Source organism: Homo sapiens, chromosome 17, assembly GCF_000001405.40.
Source record: "Homo sapiens chromosome 17, GRCh38.p14 Primary Assembly".
Lineage (NCBI taxonomy): Eukaryota > Metazoa > Chordata > Mammalia > Primates > Hominidae > Homo > Homo sapiens.
Window position 1 is genome coordinate 56,139,874 of NC_000017.11, and position 14,903 is coordinate 56,154,776.

Genomic DNA, 14,903 nt, shown 5'->3' on the forward strand with positions numbered 1-14,903 from the left:
CCTTTTCTCTGTTTGATTATTAGTTAATCCATTTCCTCTGGCAACTGGATTGAAACAAAGTTCAGTCCTTAACCTCTGCTCTTCTATCCCTTGGAGCAGCTGTATTACTTCTGCACTAATTGTTCCTAAATCTATAAACTCAAATTTGACCACTTTCCTAAGTTCAAGTCCCACTTAAGCGATTGCTTGATGGACGTGTATATTTAGAAGTCTGCAATCATCTCGAACTCAAAACATCTAAAACATTACTGATCTTTCTAGAACTCCTGCTTCATCTTGGCTTCCTTAATTCCATCAATGGCACTGCTGTTTCCTAGGTCAAAACTTGAGAGAAGGCACTGACTTTCCATAACCTTTTTTTTCATATCTAGTTAGTCACCAATTTGTGTCAATTCCTCACTTATAGATTCTTTTGAATTTGTCCATTAATACCCATTTCCTAAGCCAAGTGTGGGTTAAATGACTGCATAGTCTTTCAGCTTGTTTTTCAGCTCCCCTTTCCAATATCCCCTGCATGGCACCATAAGATCAACCATCCGAAAGGGAGGAGTATGACTCTTTCATTATGTCTTTCCCTTTCTCACTAGTGGCCTGCCATCCTGCAGCTGAAAGACTTTCTTATTTTCTTGTCTTTCAAATTCTAACCTGCCTTCAAAGTCCAACCAAACTTCTTTTCCCTTCCATGATGTTTTGAATCCCGACTCTGCCACCTAGTAGCTGGATGACCTTGGGCAACCTACTTAAGCTCTCTGTTTCTGTTTGTTCATCTAAAAAGAAGTGAATATTCTAATAATGCCTGCATCATAGGATTGTGAGGAGAATTAAATGAGTTAGCATCTGGTTAGAGCACTCAGAACTGGTAATGGCTATATAACACATTAAATAAATACAAATGTGTATGTTCCCTAAGTATGCCAAATTGGAATATATCTCTTACCCTATGTTCACTACTAATATATCATAGATATAACCTTTATCTCCTCCATTTATTAAATTATGTTGTCGCTTACACTCCCAAGTAGGACATCTGTTAGCCACACATGGTCTGAAAGCTCATTGAAAGTAAAGGTCACATCATGTGTTTCTTTATATCTCCACAGTCCCTACTATCAGCCTTACCTACTGGAGCTATGCACGTAATGATTTAAGCATTGATTTGCTCCTGGCTTTCTGGATGTGCACCCAGATTCTCTAATTCTCAATCTCACCATCTCTGCTTTATTTCTAAACCTCCCCTCACTGATCTTCTCCAGGGGCTTGGTGTGTGTGCTACAATCCACCTCTCTTGTTAGCCATCTCTGAGCGCTACATTTATCAGGGACAGTGGGTGTTGGCAGGCAGACAAGAAACACAAATCTGTAGACAGCGCCACCACAAGCCAATCTTGCCAGTACAATTCCGCAGTTTGCTGACAGACGTGTGGTGATTTTCCAAGCCTCTAATATGGAATACCATAGGGCCTTTAAGGAGAAGTAGTTGAAGATTGGGGCAGCTGGCGATTTCCCCTCCATTTTCTATCTTTGAAAGGGCATGTGCCTGACATTTGACTCTAAAATGATCTGGGATGCCATAGCTGTCACATAAAGAATGGTCTAGCAATAGAGTGAAGTTTTGGATTGGAGTGGTGTGAATGCTTCAGCAAATCTTCTGAAGACCATCCAAAGCCACACATAAATAATGAGTTTGGAAGGGCAACAAGAATGCATGGGATGTGGCCTTCTGAATCACCCATATAGTGTTCCTGGAGTGGTGGGATATTTAGGATAAAGGATCATTCGCAAAAACTCATCAGGGTGTGTGTGGGGGGTGGGGGAGCAGGAATTATTTGAGCACAGCGTTCCAGTGCAGTTTGAATTTCCACACAAATCCTCACCCTGATGCTGTGACCTCAGCTGAAGCAGAACAATCAGTGTGGGGGTGGATAATTTCCACAAATTCATGAACTGTTTTACACTAAAGCAAGCTCAGACATCCTTAATCAAAAAGCACTTCTAACCACACATCAGTGAGTGTGTAAGATAGCCCCCTCTTTTTCATAACGATGGTGTACTTTTTTTTTTTTTTTTTTTTTTTTTGAGATGGAGTCTGGCTCTGTCGCCCAGGCTGGAGTGCAATGGTGCAATCTTGGCCCACTGCAAACTCTGCCTCCCAGGTTCCAGTGATTCTCCTGCCTCAGCCTCCCCAGTAGCTGGGACTACAGGCCCTTACCACCATGCTCAGCTAACTTTTGTATTTTTAGTAGAGACAGGGTTTCATCATGTTGGACAGGATGGTTTCGATCTCTTGACCTCATGATCTGCCTGTCTTGGCCTCCCAAAGTGCTGGGATTACAGGCATGAGCCACCGCACCTGGCCAGCTAGGGCTTACTTTATGGTCTAGGGAGTTTCATGGGAGTCAAAAAAGAAGTCACACAAATGCTGCTCTGATAATTTTGTCAACTGGGTGGAAACGACAAGTTGCAAATCTCCTTATTGTTTTGTCCCTCCACACTTATGTCAAGAGTAGCTATTGGCCAAGTTCACTCCATGAAGAGTAAATCATTCCTCTGGCCCAACAAAAGGTTCTTTTGCAACACATAACATTTGTAAGCTAGTGATGGGCTCAATGGACACTGGCCAAGAACTTTAATCATCTGCACCACATGCCTAAAGGGCTAACTCACCTCAAACAGGCTTACAGAATGAAATTCAGACCCTGGAAAATTCTGGCTCTAAAGACAGGAAGCTCCACCTCTAGAAGGCTCTCCACGCTTCAGACTTTTGTTTCTTCATCCATCCTATCCTGTATTTCCTCATGCTGAAGCCTTCATTTCTTGAGAACCAGGGTGGTCCCAAAGCAGCAGCACCTGTGTTTTACAGGTGAATTTGAGCTATTTGGCTTTGATACACCTTTTCCAGTTTGTGTTTTGCTGTAGGAGTTTTGTTATTGTAGACTCTCTGTAATTTGCCTTCTGTTTACCTCTCCAATGCGAACTAACTTCTCCTCCACCCTACTCACACTCCACACAAGCCATTCACACAAATACTCTATGATTCCCCACTCCCACCATTTTTTCTATTTGGTCAGTTTTCCCAGAGGCGCGATCTGATCACTCACCCAGGAATGCATTTGGAGGCTGAGACAGATGACCCTCACCAATGAATATGAATGAATGTTTAGTTAGTATTCACAGGAAGCTGAGATTCTCAGGAAGAGAAGACATTGCGAAGAATTCCAATGATGAGAAGGAGAACAATTAGGGGTGGGGTTGGGGGGTAGTTTGGGGCTTTTTTATGTTTAGATGAGAGGCCAAGTTTGGGGGCTTCACGCATGGTAGGCTAGAGGCTGCACTGTTTGAAATTCCAGCCAGCTCAGAGAGGTCTTTCTTGTCAGGTATCAAAGGCAGTGGTGGAGAGGATGGTTGAGCACAGAAGGGATTCCAGGATCCTGCCAACACTCAAGTGCCAAAGTTGGAGTCATCCCCTTTATGACACTTGCAAACCTCTTCACTTTCACACAAGCAGCCCCTCCTTGGGACACACGCCAGCTTGTCCCCCCAAAACTCCCCTTATGAGCCACCTCCTCTAGAGCCCTTTCCTGACTCTCACTCAGCTGCAATGGACCATTCTCTTCTCTGCTACAATCATGTTCTGTGCTTGCCTCTATTTTTATAGTACCTATCATATTTGATCTTTGCAGTAGATTGAATTGTGTTCTCTCAAAAGATATATCCAAACCCTAAGCCCCATTACTTTATGAATGTGACCTGATTTGGAAATAAGATATTTGCAGATATAATTAAGTCAAGGGTCTTTGGATGAGGTCATCCTGGGTTTAGCATGGGCTATAAATCCAGTGATGCGTCCTTATAAGATAAAGGAGAGGGATATGTGACACAGAGACACAAGGAGAAGGCCAAGTGAAGCCGAACACAGAGATTGGAATTACGCAGCTACAAGCCAACGAATCCCAAGGACTGCCAGCAGCCACCAGAAGCCAGGAGAGAGGCATGGAATGGATTCTTCTGCAAAGTCTCCAGAAAGAACCAACCTTGCTGACGCCTGGATTTCAGACTTCTGTCCCCCAGAACTGTGAGAGGTTAAGTGGAGGCTTTTTCAAGCCACCAAGTGTGTGATAATCTGCTATAGTAACCCTAGCAAACTGATCACTTTATAATCATCAGTCTGGATTTTTATCCTTATCACAAGAGCTGTGTGCTCCCAGAGGGCAGAGGTTGTCATTTGTTCATCTTTGGATCCCTCCAGCCTAGCACAAGTGCCTGACACAAACAGAGGCGCATCTGAAAAAAAAAAAAAAAAAAAAAAAAAAAAACAGCCCAAACCAAATGAATGCAGAGGCAAAAGGACCACAGAAATTCTCTCTACAGCAGGAGGACTTCTATTGAATCTATCAGCTATGGTGAAATCATGAAGGGCTCCATGTGAAAAATCAAGAGTACACCACAGGTTGCACTTTAGGTCAGGCTGTTTCTTTACTTTTTGCCTGCAGGTGGACTTCTAGAACTATTGGGTGATGGGAAAAGTCCATGCACCAGTCTACACAGGCACTAAAGTACTTTGGCATGCATCCAACCTTTCTCTCTGAGTCCATGTTAATCAGGTTTACCCAGGAGATAGACAAGTAGCTTGGGTACTCTGATTTAAACCGCATGCCCTCGCGGGAGTCCCTAGAATGAGAGTTCCAATGCTGCAGAGAATCTGTTGTTTGGTTTGGGTGCTTTCTTCTCTCACTGAGCAAAAAGATGGGTTTTTTTCCTCAGGAGGAGGTGAGTGAGTGAGGATAAAATTATTTACTTAGGGACCACCTAGGCCAGGTCTGAAAATTCAGCCCAGGTGGGAAACTTCAGTCCAGTGAGGGTTCTTTGTTTTTGTTAAAGAAAAAGAAATTGCAGATGGACAGCCGAGGAGCATTGGAGCAGATGTCTGAGGCACAAATCCCTGAAGCAGACCCAGGGACCACTGCCCTTTCCTGCTTTCCATCGCCTCATTTTACAGGTGACAAACAGCCTGGCCACTTGTTTAAAGCTCAGGATTTTCTTTTTCCTCCTTCTCTTCTCTTACCCTTTTTTTTTTCTAAAAACCACAAGAGTGTTAGGTGATTTTTCCCTCCCTGCCTAGGGAACATTTATTACAGATGCTTAATCTTTCCCCTCTCCTTGGGGCAGCTCAGGCCCTCATACCAGGAAGGAGCTGAATCGTTGCCTTGGCAGAAACACTGCCCACACAAAAGGGGTAGGTGTTTTTAATTTTATCTTGTTCTATAAGGCAGGCATGGGTGAGAAACAAGCAGTGAGTGTGCACTGAGCAGGCAATGGGAATTAGAAACCATGGAATGGGTACAAAAGAAATTAAAGGATCTTTCCCTGACTTCAGTGAGCTGTCAGACCAACAGACAGACATAAAGGGAGTCAGAAAAATAGAATGTTTTTTGCTAGCAGATGTGTAAAACCTGTAGTATTAGTCCATTCTCATGCTGCCATAAAGAACTGCCCAAGATTGGGTAGTTTATAAAGGAAAGAGGGTTAATTGACTCACAGTTCTACATTGCTGGGGAGGCCTCAGGAACCTTACAATCATGGCAGAAGGCAAAGGAAAAGCAGGCACCTTCTTCACAGAGCAGCAGGATTGAGTGTCAAGTGAAGGGAGAAGCCCCTGATAAAACCATCAGATCTCATGAGAACTAACTCACTGTCACAATAATAGCATCAGGAAAACCACCCCCATGATTCAATTACCTCCACCTCGTCCCACCCTTGACACGTGGGGATTACTGGAATTACAATTCAAGGTGAAATTTGGGTGGACACATAGCCAAACCATATTATTCTGCCCCTGGACCCTCCCAAATCTCCTGTCCTCACATTTCAAAACCAATCATGCGTTCCCAACAGTCCTCCAAAGTCTTAACTCACATCAGCATTAACTCAAAAGTCCACAGGCCAAAGTCTCAGCTGAGACAAGGCAAGTTTTCAAAACTAATTATGCCTTCCAAACAATTGCCTGAGGTCTTAACTCATTCCAGCATTAACTCAAAAGTTCACAGTCCAAAGTCTCATCTGAGACAAGACAAGTTCCTTCCACCTATGAGCCTGTAAAATCAAAAGCAAGTTAGTTACTTCCTAGATACAATGGGGGTATAGGCATTGTGTAAATACACCCATTCTAAATGTGAGAAATTGGCCAAAACTAAGGGGCTACAGGCCCCATGCAAGTCCAAAATCCAGTGGGGCAGTCATTAAACCTTAAAGTTCCAGAATGATCCCCTTTGACTCCATGTGTCACATCCAGATTATGCTGATGCAAGAAGTGAGCTCTCATGACCTTGGACAGCTCTACCCTGTGGCTTTGCAGGGTACAGGCCCCCTCTCAGCTGCTTTCATGGCTGGCATTGAGTGTCTGCAGTTTTTCCAGGTGCATGGTGCAGCCTGTTAGTGGATCTACCATTCTGGGGTCTGGAGAACAGTGAGCCTCTTCTCACAGCTCCACTAGGTCATGCCCCAGTGGGGACTGTATGTGGGGGCTCCAACCCTACATTTTTCTTCCATACTGCCCTGGTGGAGGTTCTCCATGAAGGCTCTGCCCCTGCAGCAAACTTCTGCCTGGACATCCAGGCATTTCCACCCATCCCAAACCTCAATTTTTAAGGTTCCCAAACCTCAGTTTTTGACTTTTATGCACCCACAAACCCAACACCATGTGTTAGCCACTGAGACTTAGGGTTTGCACCCCCTGAAGCAATGGCCTGAGCTGTGCATTGGCCCCTTTTAGCTGTGGCTGGAGCTGAAGCAGCTGGGATGCAGGGCACTGTGTGCTGAGGCTGTATAAAGCAGGGAGGCCCTGGGCCCTGGGCCAGGAAACCATTTTTACCCCCTGGCCTCCAAGGCTGTGATAGGAGGGACTGAAGGTCTCTGACATGCCCTGGAGACATTTTCCTCGTTGTCTTGGTGATTAACTTTCAGCTCCTTGTTAGTTATGCAAATTTCTACAACCAGCTTGAATTTCTCCCCCAGAAAATGGGGTTTTCTTTTTTGTGGCATCATCAGGCTGCAAATTTTCCAAACTTTTATGTCTGCTTCCTCTTGAGTGCTTTGCCACTTAGAAATTTCTTCTGCCAGATACCCTAAAACATCTCTCTCAAGTTCAAAGTTCCACAGATCTCTAGGGCAAGGGCAAAATGGCACCAGTCTCTTTGCTAAAGTATAACAAGAGTTGCCTTTGCCTCATTTCCCAACAAGTTCCTCATCTCCATCTGAGACCACTTCAGCCTGGACATGTCATTGTCCATACCACTATCAGCATTTTGGTCAAGCCGTTCAACAAGTTTCTAGGAAGTTCCAAACCTTCCCACATCTTCCTGTCTTCTTCTGAGCCTTCCAAACTGTTCCAGCCTCTGCCTGTTACCCAGTTCCAAAGTCCCTTCCACATTTTTGGGTATCCTTATAGCAGCACCTCACTCTACTGGTACCAATTTATTGTAGTAGTCCATTCTCATGCTGCTATAAAGAACTGCCTGAGACTGGGTAATTTATAAAGGAAAGAGGTTTAATTGGCTCACAGTTTCACATTACTAGGGAGGCCTCAGGAAACTTACAATCATGGTGGAAGACAAAGGAGAAGCAGGCACCTTCTTCACAGGGCAGCAGGATGGAGTGAGTACTGATCAAAAGGGGAAGCCCCTGATAAAACCATCAGATCTCATGAGAACTAATTCCCTATCATGAGAACCGCCCCCATGATTCACTTATCTCCACCTGGTCCCACCCTTGACGTGTGGGGATTATTGGAACTACAATTCAAGATGAGATTTTGGTGGGGACACAGCCAAAATTTATCACTGTACTTTTCATTTTTCAAGAAATCTTCATATCCATGATGTTATTTCATCTTCAGAAGATTCCTGGGATATAAAGCAGGTGTATGACTTTCAGTTTCCAGATATGGAAACAGAGAGGTTATGGGAATGGACTACTTGTGTCAAGTTAAGATAAAAATCTCAACCTGTTAGCTACAACTTCTACTTGCCACTTTAATAAGGGTGGCTACCCTCTGCTGGATCCTTCTTCTCTGCCAGATCCTGTTCTAAGCATTATTTCATTGAATCTTCATAAGTGCTCTCTAAAGGAAGAACTGGTGTTACTCCTGTCTTACAGATAAAGAAACTGAGACTTATCCAGATAACACAGCTAGTTATTGTTGAAACCAGAATTCAAAACCAAGTCTGTCTAACTCAAAAACTCTTTTTTCTTGTAGCTCTAAGATTTTAAAATTTCATTTGATGAGAGGGTGCAGAGTAAAGTAGCAGTTAGCATTAGAGGACTTGATCAAGGAAATTTCTTAGCAGATGTAAACATTGGCATCCACTTAAATGGAAACAAAATGGAAGGTAACATTTATTGCATAGTTAAAATAGGTGAATCCCTTTAGAAGTGACACTAATCTAGCATTCTTTACACGAATGGGATGATTCTCCTAATTTTACAGGAAAGAGGCTAAGGCTTGGAGAGATTGAATACCCTGCTTGCAGTCCCACAGCTAGGACATAGAGACAGGATTCACATTTGGGTTTGTTTGACCTCAGACAATTCACATGTTTCCGCTCTGCCATGCTTAATTGTGCTATGAAGGTGGAAGGTGACTGCAGGTCAGATTGCACAAGGTTGAGCATGTTCTAGTCGTTTACAAGGGGACCTGCAGGGACTTTGATCAGAACCACCTATCTGTGTTGGAGGAGAACATAGGTATGACACAGCTAAAATGTTTAGGAGGAAAAAAAAAAATGGCAAAACTTGGTAGCAGTAGACTTTTATCTTCTCTTTTGATAAATTCTTAAAAGTTTTCTTTTGCCCAATAGCAGAACAAATAACTGCACATTTCCATTAATTATTTACTTTCCTTCAGATTCTTTTGACATTTCTATCATGTGCTGACAGATGCAAACACCCTCTTATTTTGTCTCTCTAAGGCTACATTTGTGGAGAGTAATGTTAATGACTGCTACTATTTTTTTGAGTACTTACAATGAGGTAGCCACACATTTGCTTACGTCATTCTCCCAACAACCATGAAAGGTACGTATTATTTATCCCAATATTCAGATGAGGTAACTGCAGGCAAGAGAGGTTATATAATTCATTCAGGTCACACGGGGAGCAAATGGCAGAGTCAAGACATAAACTTGGGTCTGTGTGATTCCAAAATATATTCTCTTTCTGTTGCCTGAAGGTAACTGGATAGGCTGTACATGGAGGCAGTGGCGGGGTGGGTGAGAGGGGGTAGTCTTTTCCGGTCATGTTTGTGTATTTTAATTTGAGATAATAAATAATAGGGAAGGAGATGACATGATGAAAGTGGTGTTTGGGGCAAGTGGGGAGAGACTGGAGGCAAGAAACCCCTTTTTCACAGGCCATGAATAGTAATAGGAATTTGAAATCTTGGGCACCTGGATAAAGGATGGTGGCTGTAGAAATAGAAAATGATGTCTTGGGATGAGTAAGCTCTGTAGAAAAATAACTGGTGAGACTTGAATCATAACTAAAGGAAAAGGAAGAGCTGAAATGGCACCAACGGCAAGTTCTCAGGAGGTACAGTCACAGTATCATCACTGTGAGAAAGGATATGAAAAGGGTTTTGAAGGCCAGCATTGTTTCCTCCTCAGGCTTAAACAGAGAGGGCTAGAGGCAGGGCAGCCACTGTGAATGACTGGGCCACATGCACTTGTGCCAGTGCCTTTACAGGTGGTCACAGGTAAAGAAAGAGCTTCCTTGGAAAGGAGAATTTCACCATTCTCAGTCCCTCCCCAGATGAGAAGCCTTGAGGTTATGCTGGCTAAGAGCTGGGAGAAGTATGCTTGAGGCCAGTGAGAAAAAGAAAAACCTGTGCTGAGCCACACATGTGTCTACACACCTGGCATGGCAATCCTGTTCTCCATGACGACATCCCTCCCTACCCCTCCACAAGCCCAGCCTCCCTGCAGGAGGATTCGGGAAGACTGCCTCTGGAGCTGTCCAGCTTCCAGGGTTGGAAGGAAGCCTTTATCAATCCCATCACCACTTCAAACAAAGCCATGCTTTCTGAGGAGGTGTAGATCTTATTATATTATTTTGTTTTCCATTCTTTTCTATCAGTTCACTGGATCACCCTCTCTTTTGCTGAGTAGCATGTTGACATTTTTTATGACTCTCTGTTACCCTAAGAATATTTCTACGTAAGTTTTTTGGCCTGAATTATTGACAACAGCTACAAATCCCTGCCTGCAGACACCTATGCACACACTGGAAAGTTCCATATAGGGCAAAGGTCACAAAGTGGCAGCCCAGAAACTAGATGTGGTCCACCAATATGTAATTTTCTTTGACCTACACAATGTTTGTTAACACTTGGAATCAACATGATTAAGTTGGGAAATTTCACACATTTTCACATTTCTAGCTTCTCTTAAAAATATGAAAAGACGTGGCAGTCCTGGGTCAGAACCCCACATGTCAGTAAGCAGCTGGAGCTGGGTTACCGATACCCCCTTTAGACGTAGCATTCGGTCCCTATTTTGCCACAGTCTCCACCACTCTTTATTACCTGACACAAAGCCCACTGCCCTCATTTGTCTCACTTAGCTGGCCTCTGTAGGCATTTAACTTTGAGATCCCAATGTGTGGTAATGGTATTGGTTTAAGCAGAAGCTAGTTGGTGCCCACAAGTTATAAATGCACTTGGGTAGTAGATACAACTGAATTCTAATTCCTTTCCCTTTCCTTTAGGCATTCTTCTGCTCATCACATTCTCTTCCCAAAATGCTCAGCACCTTATGATGAATGCCGAGCACCAAAATATCGTCCCTTCCTGCCACTGTAGTGTAACATAACCCCAGGTTAGCCTCCTTCCACCAAGACTCTCATTCCATGATGTCTCGCTTATCACTCCCTAGCCCAAGCAGAGTGACCTTGAGAGCTGACTCAGGGAGATATCAGTGACATTGCTGTCACTTGAGTCAATATTGGCAAAGGAAAGTGCAAGAGAAAGAATGTGATGAAGTAATTAGTTGATTATTTGGGAAAGGATTTGGGACACCGGGGAAGTGAATAGAGTGACCTGACCAGGTGGAATGATCAGCCTGGAGAGCTCACTCTGGGGACAGAGTGAGAGGCAGGATGGAGGGACAAGGACCTGACATGGGGAGCCCACTAGGGAAGTTGTGGCTGAGTGTTTCCAGGCTAAGAGTGTAGTCCCATCTCTGCTCACTCAGTGTGCAGCCACCTCTCTGGTCCTCAGTCTTCATCTGTGACCTCCTTATGACCTTATAGCATTGGTCCTCTATTACTCACTTTGGCACCTAACACCCTCTACCTGCTGTTTTCATCATGAAGGTGCAGTGAGGACAGGACCTGCTCCCTTTGGTTGGAATCTTCCCCTGGTTAGTGCTGTCAGCCATGCAAAGTTTGTATTGTGTCATCATCCCCTGAAGAAAATAAGAAGGGAATCTGGGTCCAGATATTCCCAAATGATATGAATGTCTAAAATGCTGGGTTTGTGGCTATGTGCCAGTTGTAATTTGTGCATTTTTTGGTAGTAGGTTTTGTTGGATTTAGATTAGTCTTTTTATAAAATAAGCAGCATGGTAGAGTGGAGAAAGTGCTGGGTTGGGGCTATTTCCAGCCTGTCTACTACTAGGAAACACGCCCTTAAATGGGGCCTCTTTAGAGTAGATGGGCTGACAAAGCCAAGGGTATTGAAAAGAAGAAATAAGCACGTACCATGCAAGCCTAACTGGGCCTTTTTGCAACTCTGAGTTTCTGGGGTTTCATAGCCACAATCTGACCAACAGCACCACTGAGAGAGCTGGTTTTTATCCATTAAATAAAAGCATTACTTCCGTTACTCTCAGCTACACTTACTGCAGTAAGCCTAAGTAACATTAAAGACCAAGTCACCTTCATCTTACATAGATTTTAAACTTTTTGAAGCGGGCAGATACTATACCTTCACCTTGACTTGAATCTTCCCTTGAGCTTAATGCAGCTGACACTCAACAAAACACTCACAAATTGACTCATTGCTGTTCAATTCTTGAGTATATGTATCATGCACTTCCTATGTAACAAGCGTTTTACTAAGTATTAAAGAGTTTTTTTTAAAGAAAAGGAATGAAGCATGGTGCCTTCCATCAAGGAGATTCCATTCTGGTAGAGGGCCATTCCTGTGATTATGTACACATGCAGCAACAACTAAATCCATTTGATAAGCATTCTGAGGAAAAACTGTAAAAAGTACTATGGAAGCTGAGGTTGGGGATAGTAATGGAAAGTTCCTGGGGTAACTGATGCCAGAGCTAAGCCTTGGAAGATGAGTAATATAAGAAGCTCACCATCTTGCAGGGAAATATATATATATATATATGTGTGTGTGTGTGTGTGTGTGTGTGTGTGTGTGTGTGTGTTTAATTTTTCTGAGTGCCTCACTGTAACTCAGTACGAATATCCTCACTCCATGTTAAGCCCAGATCACCTGCAGAGATACCTATTATTACTTCTTTTCATTTACTTGTCTTTTTTTTTCCTATTGTATAGTAGCAGCAACATTTAGATAGAGAGTTCCCTTGAATTCTCTATTTTTAAAAAAGCAATTAGACATTCATGATCAAGGGTAATGGGGCTCTGGGCTCAAGTCCTCTATTTTGTTCCCATTCATCTGTGGGTCAATAGGTAAGCCACATCTGCTGAGCCTCAACTGCTTCAAAGTACTCATCCTTGCTGGACAGGCAAGTTGCTGGAAACAAGTTTTCCTTCAGCAACCATTCAGGTGGCAAATGTTTTATTGAACATCTACACTGTGCCAGGCACTAGGTGAGGAATCAGGGTCCAATCAAACTCTCCAAACCACTGCTCAACATACTCCTCCTTTGACAAATGGGTTTTCAAAATAAGCATGCACATAATGTGCCTCCTTTGGCACACTTCCCAAGAGATTTCACTCTGAAAAGAAAGGCCAGCCTCAGCCCTTAAAGTGCAGGCCAAATAAAAACTTGCTTGACTATCAAGATTATATTATCATCTCCCCTCCAGTTCCCACCAGACTTCTAGGAAACAGCCAGACAGCTCCTCCAACCAATCCAGTAGCCAAAATAATCCATTCCAAAGCTTCAACTGAGCATCTTAATGAAATAATTGTTTACCTGATTAGTATTCAGCATCCGCAGAAGGAGGCTAAAACCCACCCCTTTCAACCTTTCCTCTCTCAGTCTCACTCTCTCTTTCCTTCCCACCCTGTCTCCTTTCAGATATACTTTCGAATCCCACCCCTTTCAGGGGCACAAAGACCAACTCAAATCTGATCGCAGCATTATCAATCAACTTATTCCCTCCCCACCGGGCACCTCCTAAGATATTTTTCACCATTTCTTTCATTCTTTGAAAACGATTTCTTTGTCACCAAGCCTGTGTGGCACTTCCCCTGCCTCTCCTCTTGACCCTGCACTGTAATCTGGACACTCCTGGAGCCAAGCCGTGGGAGAGGCAGCCATGCTCAGTCTCCCTGGATAAAGCCAGGGTTCCCTTGGCAACGGGACCGTGTGGACATTCGCAAAGGGGTTTCCCTCCACCCCCCAGGTCCTCTTTCAACTCAAGAGCTCAGTCCTGTGTCTCTCATGGAGGCGTCTCTAACCAGGGTAGGAAAACAATAGTTCTAAATATCGGTAATTGGTGTTTGGAGGCCATTGTTTTGCATTCAACAGGCAGGAAAATGTGAGTTGAGTGGGCGAGTGAATTCGGGCGTTAGCTGGTGAGCATCCATGGTCAGGCAGAGGGAAAGCTGGTTTCATTTCTGTAAACAGGCAAATGTTGATCTGAAGTAGTTTGGGTCTGTAATGTGTGTCTTTGTCTTTTGGGAGGTGGGAGAATGGGGAGATTAAAGGAGAGAGGCTTCTAGAGACAAGTTTTTACTTTATGGTCTGTTTTCTCTTTTATCCTTATCATTTTATTTATATAAAGCAAGGAAACCAGGGATTACTTGTCTCCATGTTAATGCCAACTCTTGCTCATGATTTCTGACTGTTCACACGCTCTCACTGTCTCCCACATGGATTCTCTCCTTCTCTCTCTCTCACTTTTTATGGACTTTATTGTCATGATGATGGAGAAGTAAAATTTTTTCTAAAGTTGGAAGTGGATTTTTTTTTTGTAAGAGGTCATCTCTGAAGAGCTGAGCCAGGGCTAGGCAGGACAGAACTGATTGACACATACTAACCCTGTGGGTTGTGTCGGTGGTATCGGAATCCCTGTTACTGACCCAGATTGGTCCAGAAGACCTCAAATGTGCCTTTGGTTGATGGAGGAAATGCCTGTTATTGACTTGGTTAATACTAATCACAGGTTTCTACAATAATTCAGAAGGTTATTATTGAAGTCCTGGCTGAGGTCCTGGTAGGGGATACTAATAGGAGGAACTTATTCAGCTACTTCACTTCCCCTCAGGAGTTCAGAGTAGGTGAGGACCTTACCAAAAAGCTTTTCAGGAATGAACCTGAAGCTTAAGACCTTTGAAAAAACCAGAGATAAGTGCAAGTAAGGCATGAAAGGAGGAGGCCAGAGCACCGTTCAGTTTTCCTTTCCTTTTCTCTCTTTTCCTTCCTTTCTTTCTTTTTCCTTCCTTCCTTATAAAATCACATCCAGAGTGAGGCCTAAGCATAACTGCTTATGGAACCTCTGAGAAGGTATCTTGAAGTACTTGCTGAGTTTAAACTGGCTACTGCATTAACCTATTAACCAATATGCCAACACCAAAAAAAAAAAAAAAAACTTATTCCTTTTACTATGTATTCAAACTTTCAGTAAACCCTTTGGGGACAGGAACTATACAGTTTTCAATATTTTGCCCCTGATTCTAACCAGTTAGGGGCCAGGTACATTTGGGGG

The 14,903-nt window shown here is 43.4% G+C and overlaps 1 protein-coding gene across 8 annotated transcripts in view; it reads left to right on the forward strand.

Moving 5' to 3' along the window:
• Positions 1–14,903, forward strand: part of ANKFN1 (ankyrin repeat and fibronectin type III domain containing 1) — a 470,940-nt gene that overhangs the window by 93,797 nt on the left and 362,240 nt on the right. For 4 of the 8 annotated variants that reach the window (NM_001365758.1, NM_001370326.1, XM_011524428.2 and 1 more), the window contains exon 1: positions 13,602–13,657. The exons of the other annotated variants lie outside the window; for them this stretch is intronic. Coding sequence is in view for 2 of the 4 variants with exons in the window: in XM_011524428.2 (XP_011522730.1) it covers positions 13,637–13,657 (21 nt within the window). In the remaining 2 variants the exon portion in view is untranslated. Of the gene's footprint in view, positions 1–13,601; positions 13,658–14,903 lie in introns of those variants that run through there. 8 annotated transcript variants of the gene reach the window in all.